Raw genomic sequence first — 15706 nt, 5'->3', positions numbered from 1 at the left:
GTCGCGATCACAGCTCACTGCAACCTCTGCCTCCCAGGTTCAAGTGATTCTCCTGCCTCAGCCTCCCGAGTAGCTGGGATTAGAGGCATGCGCCACCATTCCTGGCTAATTTTACATTTTTTAATAGAGATGGGGTTTCTCCATGTTGGTCAGGCTGGTCTCGAACTCCCGACCTCAAGTGATCCACTCGCCTCGGCCTCCCAAAGTGCTGGGATTACAGGCATGAGCCACCACGCCCGGCTCCACCACTTGGCTTTGACTTTAGGCAGACCCTGGAATTTTTCTGAAATTCTGCCTACTCTGTAAAATGGGAATCACAATGCCATCTGTGCATAGGAATGCACCCCACAGACCTCTAATTACAGAAAGCAAAATTGACTACGGGCTCCCAACTGTTGCACTGTGAAATCCATCATCATGTTTATACTGAGACCAGATTTCCTTCAAGCTTTTTCTAGCTAGTTCCTGGGTATATAAGGGATACTAAGGCAGGCCCATTTCTGGGAGACATGCTAGACCTGCCCTTGGCCAAACATTTGTAATGACTTTTCCTGAAAAAAAAAAAAAAAAAAAAAAAAGGATGTTTTATTGACTGAGCTGGGCAATGCCAGGCTGGTGGCTTCTTTTTTTCTGTTTCTATTTTTTTTCTTGTTTTTTTTTTTTTTTAAAGATAGGACCTCACTCTGTTACCTAGACTGGAGTGCAGTGGTGCAGTCACGGCTGCCACCTTAGCCTCCCAAGTAGCCGGGACTACAAGCATGTGCCACCAAACTTGGCTAATTTTTTTTTTTTTTTGAGTGACAAGAGCCAAACTCTATCTCAAATAAATAAATACATAAAAATAAAGTTTTGCACGTAATTTATGAAGCCCATAAAGGGCATCTTAAGGGCCTATACTCTTAGAACATTTCTGGAAGGACACACAGAAATGGTTATTGCTGTGGCCCTGGAGAGGAGGAGGGGAATTTTCCTTTATTGAATACCCTTTAAATGGAATTTTATATATAGTGCTTGTATTACAATTTTAAAGTTTTTAAACTTGTTAGTTATTTTAAAGGAACTGCTGTTCTAACACTTTGGAGTGATCACAAACTCACATACCTTCAGGGGCCAGGGAGATTAAGTGCACTTGGGTTTAGGGAGATGGCAGTGGTGGGAGCTGCAGCTAACTGCAGCTTCCATACCACACCCAAAGTACTTTAATTCAATACCATGAGAAGCATAGTGTTTGATCAAACCAATGCCCTGCTATTGGTCCCAGGACTATTAATTAGTGACCTCAGCTTAGAGTGATAGTGACAAGTTTTATCTGAAAATCTTTCAGAGGAGTCAATGATTCCTTAGTGAAGTATGCAGAATCTCTAAAGCAATGAGGGGTTGGGGGGACCACCATGGAAATTACCTGAGAGCTCCAGAGAATATGGCTGGTTCTGCATAATGCAATTTGCAAAGAAAGGGTTATCCATCCAAGCCTCTGTTTTCCTGATGTGTCCAACCCCTGCCTGGTGGAAACTCCTAGTCTGATGGGAGATGGACAGAGTCTAGTCTTGGAAGGCAGAGCTCATGTCAGGGCAGGCCCTGAAAGGTCTGAGCTGAATTTCCTCAGGTAGAAATGAGGGGAAATCTATATTCCTTTCAGGGTGAACAGTAGAATCAAAAGTTCTGAGGTGGGCCAGGCATAGTGGCTCACACCTGTATTCCCAGCACTTTGGGAGGCCCAGGCAGGAGGATCACTTGAGGCCAGGAGTTCAAGACCAGCCTGGGCAACACAGTGAGACCCCTGTCTCTACAAGAAGTGAAAAAAATTAGTGGGGCATGGTAGCACATGCCTATAGTCCTAGTTAAGAGGCTGAGGTGGGAGGATCACTTGAGGCCAAGACTTCAAGACTGTGGTGAGCTATGATCATGCCACTGTACTCCAGCCTGGGCAATGAGAGGAAGAGGAGGGGAGGGGAGGGAAGGGTGGGGGGAAGTGAGGAGGGGAGAGGAGGAGGGAGGGGTGGGGGGAAAGAAAGGAGGGAAGAAAAATGGAAGAAAGGAAGAACAAAAGGAAGAAAGGAAGGAAGGGAGGGAGGGAGGAAGGGAGGAAGAAAGTGAGTTCCAAGGTGGAAAATCAAGGGGCCTGTTTGGAGAAGTGAGAGAATTCATGGGATCTGGCCCATGGGAAGAAGTATGGGAAATCAGGTTGAAAAGGCAGATTCCAGGGAATCAGGCCCTCCCAGCCCTCTAATGTGACAAAGTTAAGGAAGAATTCTTCCTGGTGACCATTTCATTCTTGTGGAACGAGTGCACTCAGCCCCCCAGAAGTAACTGTGGAAGGCTTGGTTGGAACCCCAGTGACCAACCATTGCTCCTGACCAGGTTCCCAACAGGCACATGCTGGCTTGGGATGCTCCAAGGCCCCCTGGAGGATATGGATCTATCTCAACCCAATTTCCTCCTCCTAGGGGATTAACTGAACATGAGGGAAGAGAGCAGATCAGTGCTCAGAAAGGGAATGTATGTTGCTCAGGGTCTCAGAGGAAACTGAGGAATCACACAAGCTGAACTCCCACCTCTAGATTCTTATTCCAAGGCTCACTCCCCAGCACCAGGCTGCCTCTTGAAGTGTATGTGTCAACTCCAGGTACAACGCAACAATTACAATTCCCAACAGAACCCCCTTCCGATTCACCTACAAGATGCTAGGCCTTGGGCTAGGTTCTTGTCAAGCTAACTGGGTTCTCAGAACAAGCCTATAAGATAGGTACTACAATTATTCCCAGTTTCCAGATGAGGAAGGTGAAGCTCCAAGGGGCAAAATGACGTTCTTCTTTCTGCAAGGCAGAGCCGAGATTCCAAATCAGAGCCATTTGACTGCAAAGATCGTGCACATCAGATAAAAGAAACCTCACTGAAGCAGGGAGGGACACACACAGCCTTCCAGGCTTGGGAACAGCATTTCCAGATGTCAAAGGATCGTACAGAGAAAATACTGTGCAAACCAGATTCTCCCCATAAAGCCCAAAGGAGGCATCCTGCCTTCAGCCAGAGGCACCAGACTCCAGCAGCTGATTCCTGTTTCATCTGATTCCTGTTCTTCCTACTCCCCTCTCCACCACCCCGAGACTATTCAAATATAAGCTTTGGCTGGGTGCAGTTGTTCACACCTGTAATCCCAGTACTTTGGGAGGCTGAGGCGGGCAGGTCACCTGAGGTCAGGAGTTCAAGACCAGCCTGGCCAACATGGTAAAACCCTGTCTCTACACAAATACAAAAAAAAAAAAAAAAAAAAAAAAAAAGCTGGGCATGATGATGGGTACCTGTAATCCCAGCTATTGGGAGGCTGAGGCAGGAGAATCGCTTGAACCCAGGAGGCGGAGGTTGCAGTGAGCTGAGGATCGTGCCTTCATGAAAGCAGAGGATTTGAGTCTGTTTTGTTCACTAATGATTTCCAGCACCTACAAGAGTGCCTGGTATGTATAAGGAGCTATTAATAAATAAACATGTGTTGGATGATGTGGAAGGTGAATGTTTTTTAACTATAGGGAGTTTTTGTTTGTTTGTTTTTTGAGATAGGGTTTCCGCTCTCTAACCCAGGTTGAAGTGCAGTGGTGTGATCTTGGCTCACTGCAGCTTTGACCTTCTGGGCTCAAGTAATCTTCCCACTTCAGCTTCCCGAGTAGCTGGGAGTACAGGCATGCGCCACCACACCAGGCTGATTTTTCATTTTATTTTTTATTTTTTGTAGAGACAGGGTCTCACTACGTTGCCCAGGTTGGTCCCAAACTCCTGGCCTCAAGTGATCCTCCCACCTGGACCTCCCAAAGTGCTTGGATTACAGGCATGAACCACTGCGCCTGGCCAAACTTAAGACTATCGCACAAAGCTCCTGTATGGGGGTACTTCCATTAGCTGGAAGACGCAACTTGAATGACAGTGGCTTGGTGACAGAAGCTTTGAAAATGCTCCTGGATGAGCAGACTGGATAAGGAATACCACTGGGAATCACTTTGTAAAGTGATTAGTCAAGTTAAACTCTCCCTGAGTGATCATTTTGATAAGCCTGGACTTTCTTGCTTTGCTCAGAGCAGGATTTGTTTCCTTCCACTCAGCAGACATTCGTGAAGCATTATGTATGCAAAGCTCTGTGCCACATCTCAGGATCTGAGAAATGGAAGGAAGTGCAGAAATCACCCACCAGCCCCACCATTCCTGAAGAGCAAGTGGGAGAGCTGAAACCCAGAGAGAGGTTACTGAGGGAGGCAGGAGGTCCCAGTCCAAGGCCTGCCCCTGGCTCTGTCCCCTCGGCCCTCATAGGTCTGCAGACTTTCAAAGTCAGCAGTTGGACCAGGCCCAGAATTTTAATAGGCAGAGTAACACTTCTGACTTAACAAAGCGCTGGGCTGGAAAGTGTTCCTGCTAGGGGTCTCCAGGAATTAAATGACTTTGGTGGCCATGCACGGTGGCTCATGCCTGTAATACCAGCACTTTGGAAGGTCAAGAAGGGAGGATCACCTGAGGTCAGGAGTTCGAGATCAGCCTGGCCAACATGGCGAAAACCCTTCTCTACTAAAAATACAAAAGTTAGCCAGGTGTGGAGGCGCATGCCTTTAATCCTAGCTACTCAGGAAGCTGAGGCACGAAAATCACTCGAACCTGGAAGGCGGAGGTTGCAGTGAGCCGAGATTGCGCCACTGCACTCCAGCCTAGGCGATAGAGTGAGACTCCATCTCAAAAAAAAAAAAAAAAGAAAAAGAAAAAGAAAAAAATGCCATGTAGGAAATGACATACAGATAAGCCTTGAAGGATGAAGAGAGAGCTAAAGGGACATTCCAGATGAAGGATCTTCGCAAATAAAGCTACAGTGTGGGGACTATCCAGGTGTAGTCTGGAGAGCAGGCAGAACAGGGAGTGGGGACCACTGGAAGGCTACTGGAGCCATCATGGTGAGAACCACTGGAAATGATGAGCCCTGGGCTCAGCACTTTACATCCTCATGCTAGACCTTGGAGGTAGGTTCCCTTACTACTACCACATTCTTTCAGATAAGGAAATGGAGGTCCAAGGAGGTGACAAGGTCACAAGACTGACTGGTGGTAGAAATAGCACTTAAGCCAGGTCCTTCTGATGCCTCCCCCTGACCTCCTTACCACTGGAATGCCAGGCAGTGGCATTACTGAGGCCTTCCATCTAAGGTACCATTGTCCCAGCACACTTGGCCCGGCATGTCACCTCAGACATGTGGGCACCGAGAGGTCAATCTTTGCCTTAAGCATGGAAGCTAGCTTGATCCCACCTTTTTGAGTTGAGCATCTACGAGACTATCAGGACCTCCTTCACCAAATAGAGGGGATGCATGGGCAAGGAATATGAGGATTGCTGAGGATTTATTATGCTCCGCTGTCTGCTGGTTTCTGTTTATTGTTCTACAGTTGTGTAGGTTGTAGTTACTAGTTCTCCTCGGGTCACACTGGTGTCATCGTGACCCTGGGGCAGATCCCTTTGCCAGAACTAGGGTGGTTGGCCTTTCTTGGGAGACTGGAGTTTAAACTGGTGGTGGTATCCCGAAGGTTAAGTACCGGTTGCTGTTCACGGATTCCTCTCTCCATCGCCCGAGCTTTCTGAGCTGCTCTGTCATGAACTTTTTTTTCAGGTGTTCATAGTAGTGGCTGATCTTTTTCTTGGTCTTCTCTAAAGCGCTCACCTTACAAAAAACAGAGGTGAGGTTAGGATCAAGATCCTAAAGAGGTGAGATTAGGATTACTTCGCAGCAGGGCAGACATCTGTGCTACTGATGGGGGAGTGGGAAAAGTGTCAGCTGGACCCTATGTACATTCCATATACTTTGACTCACAGAGAGCCTATTTCTCTATTTGTAAAAAGCATGCATTAAGCTAGATAACTCCAAGGACTGGCGCAGTGGCTCACACCTGTAATCCCAACACTCTGGGAGGCCAAGGAGGGTGGATCACTTGAAGTCAGGAGTTTGAGAGCAGCCTGGCCAACAAGGTGAAACCCTGTCTCCGCTGAAAATACAAAGATTAGCCAAGCATGGTGGTAGGCACCTGTAATCCCAGCTACTCGGGAGGCTGAGGCAGAAGAGTTGCTTGAACCCAGGAGGTGGAGGCTGCAGTAAGCCGAGACCGCACCACAGCACTATAGCCTGGACAACAGAGTGAGACTCTGTCTCACACTGAATTCTACTTATTTCTTCTATTGTATAACTTCTGTCCTGTCCCCCAAAAGGCGGTAAGGTGTGGGAAGCCAACATCCTATGTCTTATGCATTTACTCCAATGAGCTAGCTACAGGAGAGGATACTAAGAAAAACTGCCACAGGTCTTCACAGTAACTCCAATGTAGTCAGGATGTAAGACACATGCCCAAATATTTCTTTTTTTTTTTCTTTTTTGAGATGGAGTCTCGCACTGTCACCCAGGCTGGAGTGCAGTGGCGCGATCTCAGCTCACTGCAAGCTCTGCCTCCTGGGTTCACACCATTCTCCTGCCTCAGCCTCCCGAGTAGCTGGGACTACATGCGCCCGCCACCACACCTGGCTAATTTTTTGTATTTTTAGTAGAGACGGGGTTTCACCATGTTAGCCAGGATGGTCTCGATCTCCTGACCTCGTGATCCACCCGCTTCGGCCTCCCAAAGTGCTGAGATTACAGGCATGAACCACCGTGCCCGGCCCACATGCCCAAATATTTCTAAGAGAGAAAGTGATCCACTTCCAAAAGAAGCACAGAGTTCAAGGAAGGGAGATATCACGACAAATTTCACTTGGCTGGGCGCTGTGGCTCACATCTGTAATCCCAGCACTTTGGGGGGCCAAGGCAGGTGGCTCACTTGAGGCCAGGAGTTTGAGATCAGCCTGGCCAACATGGGGAAACCCCATCTCTACTCAAAATACAAAAAAAACCTAGCTGGGTGTGGTGGCATGTGCCTGTAATCCCAGCTACTCAGGAGGCTAAGGCACAAGAATCGCTTGAACCCAGGAGGCAGAGGTTGCATTGAGCCGAGATTATGCCACTGCACTTCAGCCTGGGTGACAGAGCGAGACTCTGTCTCAGAAAAGAAAAGAAAAGCTACCCAGAGAAGTTAGCATATAAACTGAGGCTAGGTTTTGAAGGATGGGAGGGTTTGGGGCATGTAGAAACAATGTGGTGGGTGGTGATCCTGGGAATGTACGTTTTTTAACAAGCCCTCCAGGGGATTCTGATAAGCACTAACATTATCTGAAGACCTAGCACAAGGTTAAGCAAAGGACTTCTTCATAAAGGCCAGTCAATATTGACATGATTACTTGACATGAGGAATTAAAGAGGGAGGGTGGGCACTAAATGTCATAGTTCAAGTCCGTGTTCTCCAAACCTGGCTGAGCATCAGAAGCATTTCAGTTGCTTGATAGAAACGTAGGCCCCAAGGATTCTTGCTTAATAGGGTTTGGATGGGGGCCAGCAATCTCCACTTTTGTCATGCACCTGAGATTATTCTGATCCAGCCCCATTACCAAGTCGCTGCTATTACCACCATTTTCTTTTTTTCTTTTTTTTTTGAGACAGGGTCTCACTCTATTGCCCAGGCTAGGGAGAGTGCAGTGGCACAATCTTGGTTAACTGCAACCTCCACATCTTGGGTTCAAGCGATTCTTGTGCCTCAGCCTTCCAAGTATCTGAGATTACAGGCTTGAGCCACCACACCAGGTTAATTTTTGTATTTTTAGTAGAGACAGGGTTTCACCATGTTGGCCAGGCTGGTCTCAAACTCCCGACCTCAAGTGAGGCACCTGCCTCAGCCTCCCAAAGTGCTGGGCTTACAGGTGTGAGCCACTGTGCCCAACCTTATTACCACCATTTTCTTTTCTTTTCTTTTCTTTTTTTTTTTTTTTGAGAGGGAGTTTCACTCTTGTTGCCCAGACTGGAGTGCAATTATGCGATATTGGCTCATCGCAACCTCGGCCTCCAGGGTTCAAGCAATTCTCCTGCCTCAGCCTCCCAAGTAGCTGGGATTACAGGCATGTGCCACCACACCTGGCTAGTTTTCTATTTTTAGTAGAGAGGGGTTTCTCCGTGTTGGTCAGGCTGGTCTCGAACTCCCAACCTCAGGTGATCCGCCCGCCTCGGCCTTCCAAAGTGCGTGAGCCACCACCCTGGCTTACCACCATTTTCTAGTACACCCCATGACAGTAGGCTTTTTGGCCTCTCTCAACTAGTGATTTTACCTTGAGCATGACTCTTACCAATCAGGGTTTCTCAACCTTGACACTACTGACATTTTGAGCTAGGCAGTGTGTGGTGGAGGGCTGTCCCATACACTGCGGGATATTCAGCAGTGTCCCTGGCCTCTACCTACTAAATACAGAAAGCCACAAAGGGCTGGGCATGGTGGAACATGCCTATAATGCCAGCACTTTGGGAAGCAGAGATGGGCAGATCACTTGAGCCCAGGAGTTTGAGGCCAGCCTGGGCAATATGGTGAAACCCCGTTTCTATTAAAAGTGCAAAACATTAGCTGCGCATGATGGCACGTGCCTGTAATCCTAGCAACCTGGGAGGCTGAGGTGGGAGGATTGCTTGAACTCAGGAGGTTGAGGCTACAGCAAGCTGTGATCATGCCACTGCCCTCCAGCCTGAGCAAAAGAGTGAGACCCTGTCTCAAAAAAAAAAAAAAAGAAAAAAAAAGGAAATTAAAAAAAGGGGATACAAAGATGATGAGAGAGAATGGAAGACATACCTGGTGGTAGTACAGCCCCTGGCTACTTTCCCCAAAAACATTGGCGACTCTGCCCTATCCATCCTTGATTATGTAAACCCAACTTCTCTATCTTGCTCGAACTAGTTCAAGTTCAGTTTATGTTACCTGCAACTGAGAGGATCTTAATAGATCCTATTTTACAAATGAGAAAGCAGAGTCTGGAGGAAGTGTAATTCACACAGGGTCACACAAAGCTGGCTTGCCCATCTATTTCCACTACACCACACCCATGGAAGTGTAGCAGAAAGAGAAATGCCCGGGTCCCTACTCTTCTTTTGGTGTTTGTGACCTTCAAGAGGATCTGGCACCATCTCTTAAGGATCTCCAATTGTTTTTAATGTTAGAATTTTGTGGGCCCATCCAGACTTGACCCTGGAACATGGAAGGAAGCTCAAAAGAGTCAAGAAGCAGGCAGCAGCTGTGCGTGGTGGCTCACTCCTGTAATCCCAGCACTTTGGGAGTCTGAGGTGGGTGGATCACCTGAGGTCAGGAGTTTGAGACCAGCCTGGCCAACATGGTGAAACCCCGTCTCTACTAATAAAACAAAAATTAGACGGGCGTAGTGGTGCATGCCTGTAATTCCAGCTACTTGGGAGGGTGAGGCAGGAGAATTGCTTAACCCGGGAGGTAGAGGTTGCAGTGAGTTGAGATAGCGCCACTGCACTCCAGCCTGGACAACAGGAATGAAATTCTGTCTCAAAAAAGAAAAGAAGGTGGCAGCAGCTCAACCCTGGGCACCCTGCTCTGCTTGAAAGAATGAGTGTGTTTCTGGAGTCCATCTTGTTCACTTGTCTCTTCCTAGCGCCCAACACAGTACCTGTCCCAAGCAGGCCCTAAGGACAGGTTTAATGAATCCATCAATCAGGGTCTATGGGAACAGTGGGGTGACAGCACTCAGGATTTCGAGTAAGCAGGTGAAACTCTACCTGTCCATAGCAAAAAGTGGGAGAAGAGCCTCAGCTCTCATCTGGAAAATGGGGATAATCCCCAAAGGAAAAAATTGACAAGATGGTGTTGAGGCCCATTCAAACTCTAGGACCCAAGACTTTGGTTTTCTGTTTTTTTGTTTGTTTGTTTTTTGAGATGGAGTCTTGCTCTGTTGCCACACACCTGGCTGCCACCACACCTGGCTAATTTTTGTATTTTTAGTAGAGACAGGATTTCACCATATTGGCCAGGCTGGTCTCGAATTCCTGACCTCAAGTGATCCTCCTGCCTCAGCCTCCCAAAGTGCTGGGATTAGAGGTATGAGCCACTGCGTGTGGCCTAGGACCCAAGACTTTGTATGGGAGAAAATAAGAATCCATTCATGGATTCCCTAAATAGAGAGATAATGTGCTTTCAGAAAAAAAGACCCAAGAGACATGGAGTCTTTCTCTCTGGCTCCCTTAGCCCAGGAACAGGTGCGACACCTTGCGCAAGTCAGTAACCCCGAGTATCAATTGCCTCCTCTGTAAAATGGGGCCTGCCTTAGAGCACCTTGATGACTCCCTATCACCTCTATGATATCCCAGCATATAGGGAGAATGAAATGAATATGGGTCAAGCCACTAACACCCTCTAATGCAAAAGCTTGTGGCTACTTTACCTCCATCTCATAGATTCGTTGTGTGATGCGGTTATCATGAATAATCACCCGAGATAAATGGCTCTTGGGTAAAGTTTTTTTCATCGCTGCTTCACTGGAATTCATTAAGCTGGAGCAGGGAGGGAAAGGTGGCACAGGTTACAGACGGTTGGGGCCTGGGCCAGAGCACATTTGATGGGGTCCTGAGGGAGTGGCTGAGGCTTCCCCGGGTTTCTTGGGACAAGTGCAGCTCTGTCATAATTTTCAAAAGAACAGGGGAGTAACCACAGTTTCTTGTTGTGGAAAAGGTATGCTAAAGGGGTATTTCATGGTTACCCAGAAGAAAAGCCATTCTGAGGATGTAAAATGGCCTAGTGCAGTCCTTAAGAGAAGGGTTATCAGGAACTCAGAACCATCCTCAGAAGCAGTCACCCTTTTTGTGTTTTTTGTTTTTTTGAGGCGGAGTTTCACTCTGTCTCCCAGGCTGGAGTGTGGTGGTGCAATCTTGGCTTACTGCAAACTCCACCTCCAGTTCAAGCAATTCTCCTGCCTCGGCCTCCTGAGTAGCTGGCACTACAGGCACTCGCCACCATGCCTGGCTAATTTTTGTACTTTTAGTAGAGACGGGGTTTCACCATGTTGGACAGGCTGGGTTCAAACTCCTGACCTCAAGAGATACACCCACCTCAGCCTCCCAAAGTGCTGGGATTACAGGCAAGTGCCACCACGCCCACCCAGCCAAAAGCAGTCATCTTGATGATCCTTCTTAAGGATGAAATGGTGAGAGGAGTCTTAGAGGAGAGGAGTAAAGTTGTAGGGTAGGATTCAGAAGGATGAATCTGGGAGGTGTTTAGCTTGGGGGGCACTTGCTCTAGAGCATATGCTTCAAGGGGATCTGGGAGGTGGGGGGTTGGGGGAGTATAAATCAGAGCAGGGAGAAATGCAAATGAAAAGCTTGGACAGGTGTTAGGCTGGTTAACAGGGAAATTCTGGAAGAAAGTTTGGGGAGTTTAGAAAAGTGAAGGAGGTATGGGGTGGCTAGGGGTTTTAGGAGACTCTGAAAGGTGAGAGGTGAAAGATGGGGTGGGGTGGGGTAGAATGGAGCCAAGTACTCCAGGTGAAAATACAACAATTTGGTCAAAATGAGAAAATGGTGAAAAGTGGATACACTTACAGGCACTGAGTTTTCACTTTTTGATAATTTGGTTACACCACGAAGTAGTCTTATGAACATATATCTTTAAATGGTTTTGTCCATTTAAAAATAATTGTTCAGGACCGGGCAAGTTGGCTCACGCCTGTAGTCCCAGCACTTTGGGAGGCTGAAGCAGGCGAATCACTTGGAAGTCAGGAGTTCCAGAACAGCCTGGCAAAGATGGTGAAACCCCATCTCTGCTAAAAATACAAAAATTAGCTGGGCGTGGTGGTGAGCGCCTGTAATCCCAGCTACTCGGGAGGCTGGGGCAGGAGAATCACATGAACCCAGGAGGCGGAGGTTGCAGTGAACTACTTTACCATTGTACTCCAGCCTGGGCGACAGAGTGAGACTCCGTCTCAAAAAAAAAAAAATTGTTCATATTTTCTTTCTAAAATGTGGAAACAAAATGTACAATATTGAATAAATTTTGGTATGTCATAAAATAAAATACATGTAATTGTGTATGAAACATAGACACGGGTGGTGTATTAGATGGGAGAAGAAAGCAGGTTACTAGAAACTGAACTTTTTGTGATGTATTGTTTTTTAAGTATAAGTATGTTGTCATATATATATTATATATGAATGAAGCCTGAACAAAATGCACCAAAATGTTAACGGTGATTGTCCCTAGCCAATCATGCTGCTAGTCTTATTTTTCTTATTTTATTTTATTTTTATTTCTTTGAGATGGGATCTCACTCTGTCGCCCATGTTGGAGTGCAGTGGCGCAATCTCCGCTCAATGCAACCTCAGCCTCCCAGGCTCAAGCAATCCTCCCACCTCAGGCTCCCGAGTAACTGGGACCACAGGCCAGCCACCATGCCCGGCTAATTTTTTGCATTTTTGGTAGAGACAGGGTTTCGCCATGTTGACCTGACTGGTCTCGAACTCCTGAGCTCAGGCGATCCACCCTCCTCAGCCTCCCAAAGTGGTGGGATTACAGGCATGAGCCACTGCACCTGGCCTTATTTATCCATAAGTGTATGCTACTTTTATAATTAGGACAAAAAAGACAACTGTGGAAGGGTGAAACATTTTGAAGGACTAGAATTTTTTTCTAACTGATGCCGGGTGCAGTGGCTCACACCTGTAATCCCAGCACTTTGGGAGGCAGAGGCAGGCAGATCACCTGAGGTCAGGAGTTCCAGACCAGACTGGCCAACATGGTGAAACCCCGCCTCTACTAATAATACAAAAATTAGCCGAGCATGGTGGTGCACGCCTGTAATCCCAGCTACTCAGGAGGCTGAGGCAGGAGAATTGCAATTCATTTTCAGCCAATTTGGAACCCGGAGTGTCGTGTATGTTTTTAGATTTACAAACTAATATGAACAATCCAATTTCCCAGTCTCCCATTTACATTTTTCTGACCTATGCACAGCCTAGGTATGAGGTGATGGAAAAGGCTGGTTTAGAGATCAAGATGCTCAAACACAAAAGTCCCCCAAATCCTGGTTTTTTTTTGTTGTTGTTGTTTAAAAAAAATCCCTAAAACATTTAAGGACACATAAAACTCTTCACCCACTCAGTGGGTGCACCAAATTTACCAATACTAGAAGGGGAAGAGGGTGGCAACGACTGGAAATATTCCCTTTCAAGTAATAAAGGTCATTTTGAACCAAATTGCTTTCCACCTCAAGTTCTCCATGGACAGGGGCCTGAAGGATGCAGTGAGGGGGGTTTGTGGAATGGAAAGGAGCGCGGGTAATTGGGGTTTGTGAGGATCCGGGCCAGGCAGAGGGAACTGGGGTTTTTTCCAGGACCACCGGGGAAAAGAGAGGCTGAGAAGGGGCGTATGAGACGGATTCGAACTTGGGAGGACCTGGGCCTCGCCAGGTTCTAAGAGTCAGGGCTCATCCCCCTAGGGCACTGCGGCCACATGTTGTCATGCCTGGGGGACTGACGGGCCAGGACCGATTCTGAGAAAATGTCAGTGGAGATGTCATTCTGAGAAAATGTCAGTGGAGATGGGGATTCCAGGTTCTCCCGCGATTCCGGGGCGAGGGAGTTCGGGCTCCGGGGAATCCGAAGAGCTAGACTGGGAAGGTGCTGGTGCCCGGGGCTACGAGAAATCGACTATCCTGGGGTGTGAAAAAGGGCCGGGGTCCGGCTAAGGGGAGCGCGAGTCCCAAAGAGTTAGGGTTCCCTCGCGGGTCCGAGGGTCTGACGAACGCTCTGGGCATGCGGGCCACACCTGAACAGCACCGGCTGCTGCGCGGACCTCGGCCGCGGAAAGCAGATCTGCGGCTGACCCCCTACGCCGATTTCTGGGCGGCGGCCGAGTCTATCGCGCTGGTAGTTCGAACCCGAGGTGGCGCTGGAACTGGTGGTCGCCTGGGCGGCGGTCCCGCCGATCGTGGAGGATCCCTGGTCACAGGTGACCGAGGGCCTAGTCGGCTGTGTCATTGCGGCTTCCCTGTTGGAGAAAGAGTTGGAAACTGGTGGCTGGTTGCCAGCCCACCTAGGTGGGCGCGCGCTGACGCGGAGTGAGTCCCTGGGCGGAGCCCTGAACCGAGCGCGGCGCGTTGCCTGGGAGACACATATTGGCTGCGGGGAAGGGGACGGGGGCTGTTGGACATGCGTGCAGAGTCCGGCGGCCACGGACGCGGTAATATTGTCCCTCGGCATCCGCCGTGGTGAGACCCGGCGCGTTGCTGTGAAGACGGACGGGTCTGGAAGAAGTGGGGTGCGGTGAGCTGAGCAGACCTTTTCCGCTTCGACGTGGGGACTGCAGTGACCCCGGCCTGCTGGCGGGGCGGGTAACGGGTTGAGCCAGGGTGGGGCTGCTCAGCGGCATGGAGCTGAGGTCTGAAGACCCAGCACAGGCGATTCCTTTCTGCGACGAGACAATTGCTATGGAAACCAAAGTGCTGGGTCAGCGGGGATTGAGGCTCCAGGATCAAGACTGGTGTCTTTCCGGAAGACCCTTGGCTAAGGCTTCCCGGAGCGGCTGCTTCCTGAATGAATCCGCCATCTCCTGCGGGGTCTTGACACCGAGCAGGCGAAGAAGCCTATTCCAATGCCAGCTCCCCCGGGAAACCTACCTGGCCCACCCCTATAAGTGGTGCCTCGCTCTCGTTAACTCTTAGACTTTGTTCCACGTTTATAACCTAATATTTCGGTAACGCCCCGCGGTTTTTGTTTACTTTTCCCACACATAATGGACCAGAAAGACTTGCTTCCGGACTTTGCTTTATGACTCTGAACAAGTCATTTTTCCCACTGGGTCTCACTTCCCTCTTGTGTAAAATGGAAATATTAACTCTAGATGCCGGTCTGGTTAGGTTTGAAGATCGAACCAGATGAGGGAAGCCAAAGACTTCATAGGCTGTAAAGTGGTGAAACTGAACTGCTAACGAGTTGCTATTTTTTTCTCCCCTCCCTCTCCCTCAAGCTAAAAGTTCTTCAGATTTCTTGTGATTTCTTCAGGCGGTCTTGGGACTCCCTAGCCTCCGACCTGGAATAGATCTCTCTTCACACTTCACTTCCACAGAGCCCTTCATTTTAACTTCCCTATCCAAAGCAAGAAAAATAGTTATCATTTTTAGAGGGCTTACTCTGTGCCAAGCCCTGATAAAACTCTTTACCTGGATTATCTCATTAAATTTCACAACATCCTTTTAAGGTAGCCACTGTTATCCTCTTTTTAAGCTCTGTCTGCCTGTAATTGCCTATTTAATGTCTGTTTCCCCCACTAGACTTTGAGCTCTGAAAAAAGGGGCCATGACTGTCTTGTACATTTCAGTATCTCCAACACCTAATACAGTGCCTGATAAATATTTCTTAACTAGCATGAAAATGACTGACCCTCCTCCTATCACTACCCTTACCCTCAAGAGCATTGTCTCTCCTGCAGACTTTTAGTTGCTGTGATGAACAGCACATTCCTTTATTCCCATTACTCACTGGTTTGAGGGGCCATCAGTTCACTTCTCTCTGGATTATCTGATGATGAGGATCCAGAACATCCCTTAGCATTTAGGCTTCCACCTGGGTTCAGGAGGCTTTTTCCTTGCCCTTCATATAGTCTCTAGAACAAGGCAGCCCTAGCTGCCCTTCCTGGGGTGAGCCTGATGCATTTGAGTCTAGGGCGTTGGCAGGTAGAATTTACCTATACAATCTTTGGCTCTTCTCTTTAGTAGCCTCAGAACCACCCCCATCCCCACTCAGCCTGTTCCTGGAATTCTACAGAAAAATGGC

At 48.3% G+C, this 15706-nt stretch overlaps 2 protein-coding genes across 3 annotated transcripts in view, besides 2 other annotated features; one reads left to right on the top strand and one right to left on the bottom strand.

Annotated features, from left to right (window-relative positions):
- Nucleotides 1–5368: 5368 nt before the first annotated feature.
- Nucleotides 5369–14586, bottom strand: C5orf52 (chromosome 5 open reading frame 52). 2 transcript variants are annotated; one of them, XM_011534416.3, is made up of 4 exons: nt 14213–14586; nt 13701–13922; nt 10327–10435; nt 5369–5686 (listed from the first exon to the last, which is right to left on the bottom strand). In XM_011534416.3, exons 2-4 carry the CDS (start codon nt 13910–13912, stop codon nt 5528–5530), a joined length of 480 nt encoding a protein of 159 aa, XP_011532718.1. In that variant the 5' UTR covers nt 13913–13922; nt 14213–14586; the 3' UTR covers nt 5369–5527. The 2 variants fall into 2 exon arrangements, with proteins under 2 accessions (XP_011532718.1, NP_001138604.1); NM_001145132.2 differs by lacking the exon at nt 14213–14586 and having other exon boundaries at nt 13701–13994.
- Nucleotides 13772–14329: an enhancer, noted in NCBI's record as "H3K4me1 hESC enhancer chr5:157098206-157098763 (GRCh37/hg19 assembly coordinates)". NCBI's record gives its function as "activates a minimal SCP1, AML or CMV promoter by ChIP-STARR-seq in naive H9 embryonic stem cells {active_cell/tissue: H9 hESC(naive)}" and the evidence as "EXISTENCE:reporter gene assay evidence [ECO:0000049][PMID:30033119]".
- The window catches only part of SOX30 (SRY-box transcription factor 30), a 45802-nt gene continuing 44142 nt past the window's right edge, over nt 14047–15706 (top strand). The window contains exon 1 of the mRNA NM_001308165.2: nt 14047–14197. The gene's annotated coding sequence lies outside the window, so the exon portion shown is untranslated. The remainder of the gene's footprint in view (nt 14198–15706) is intronic.
- Nucleotides 14197–14306: an enhancer, noted in NCBI's record as "active region_23528". NCBI's record gives its function as "activates an Ori minimal core promoter by ATAC-STARR-seq in GM12878 lymphoblastoid cells {active_cell/tissue: GM12878}" and the evidence as "EXISTENCE:reporter gene assay evidence [ECO:0000049][PMID:35858748]".

This window comes from Homo sapiens, chromosome 5 (assembly GCF_000001405.40).
Source record: "Homo sapiens chromosome 5, GRCh38.p14 Primary Assembly".
In the NCBI taxonomy this organism is placed as follows: Eukaryota; Metazoa; Chordata; class Mammalia; order Primates; family Hominidae; genus Homo; species Homo sapiens.
Note: the sequence above shows the minus strand (reverse complement) of the source record. Positions and strands in the feature narration are given on the sequence as shown.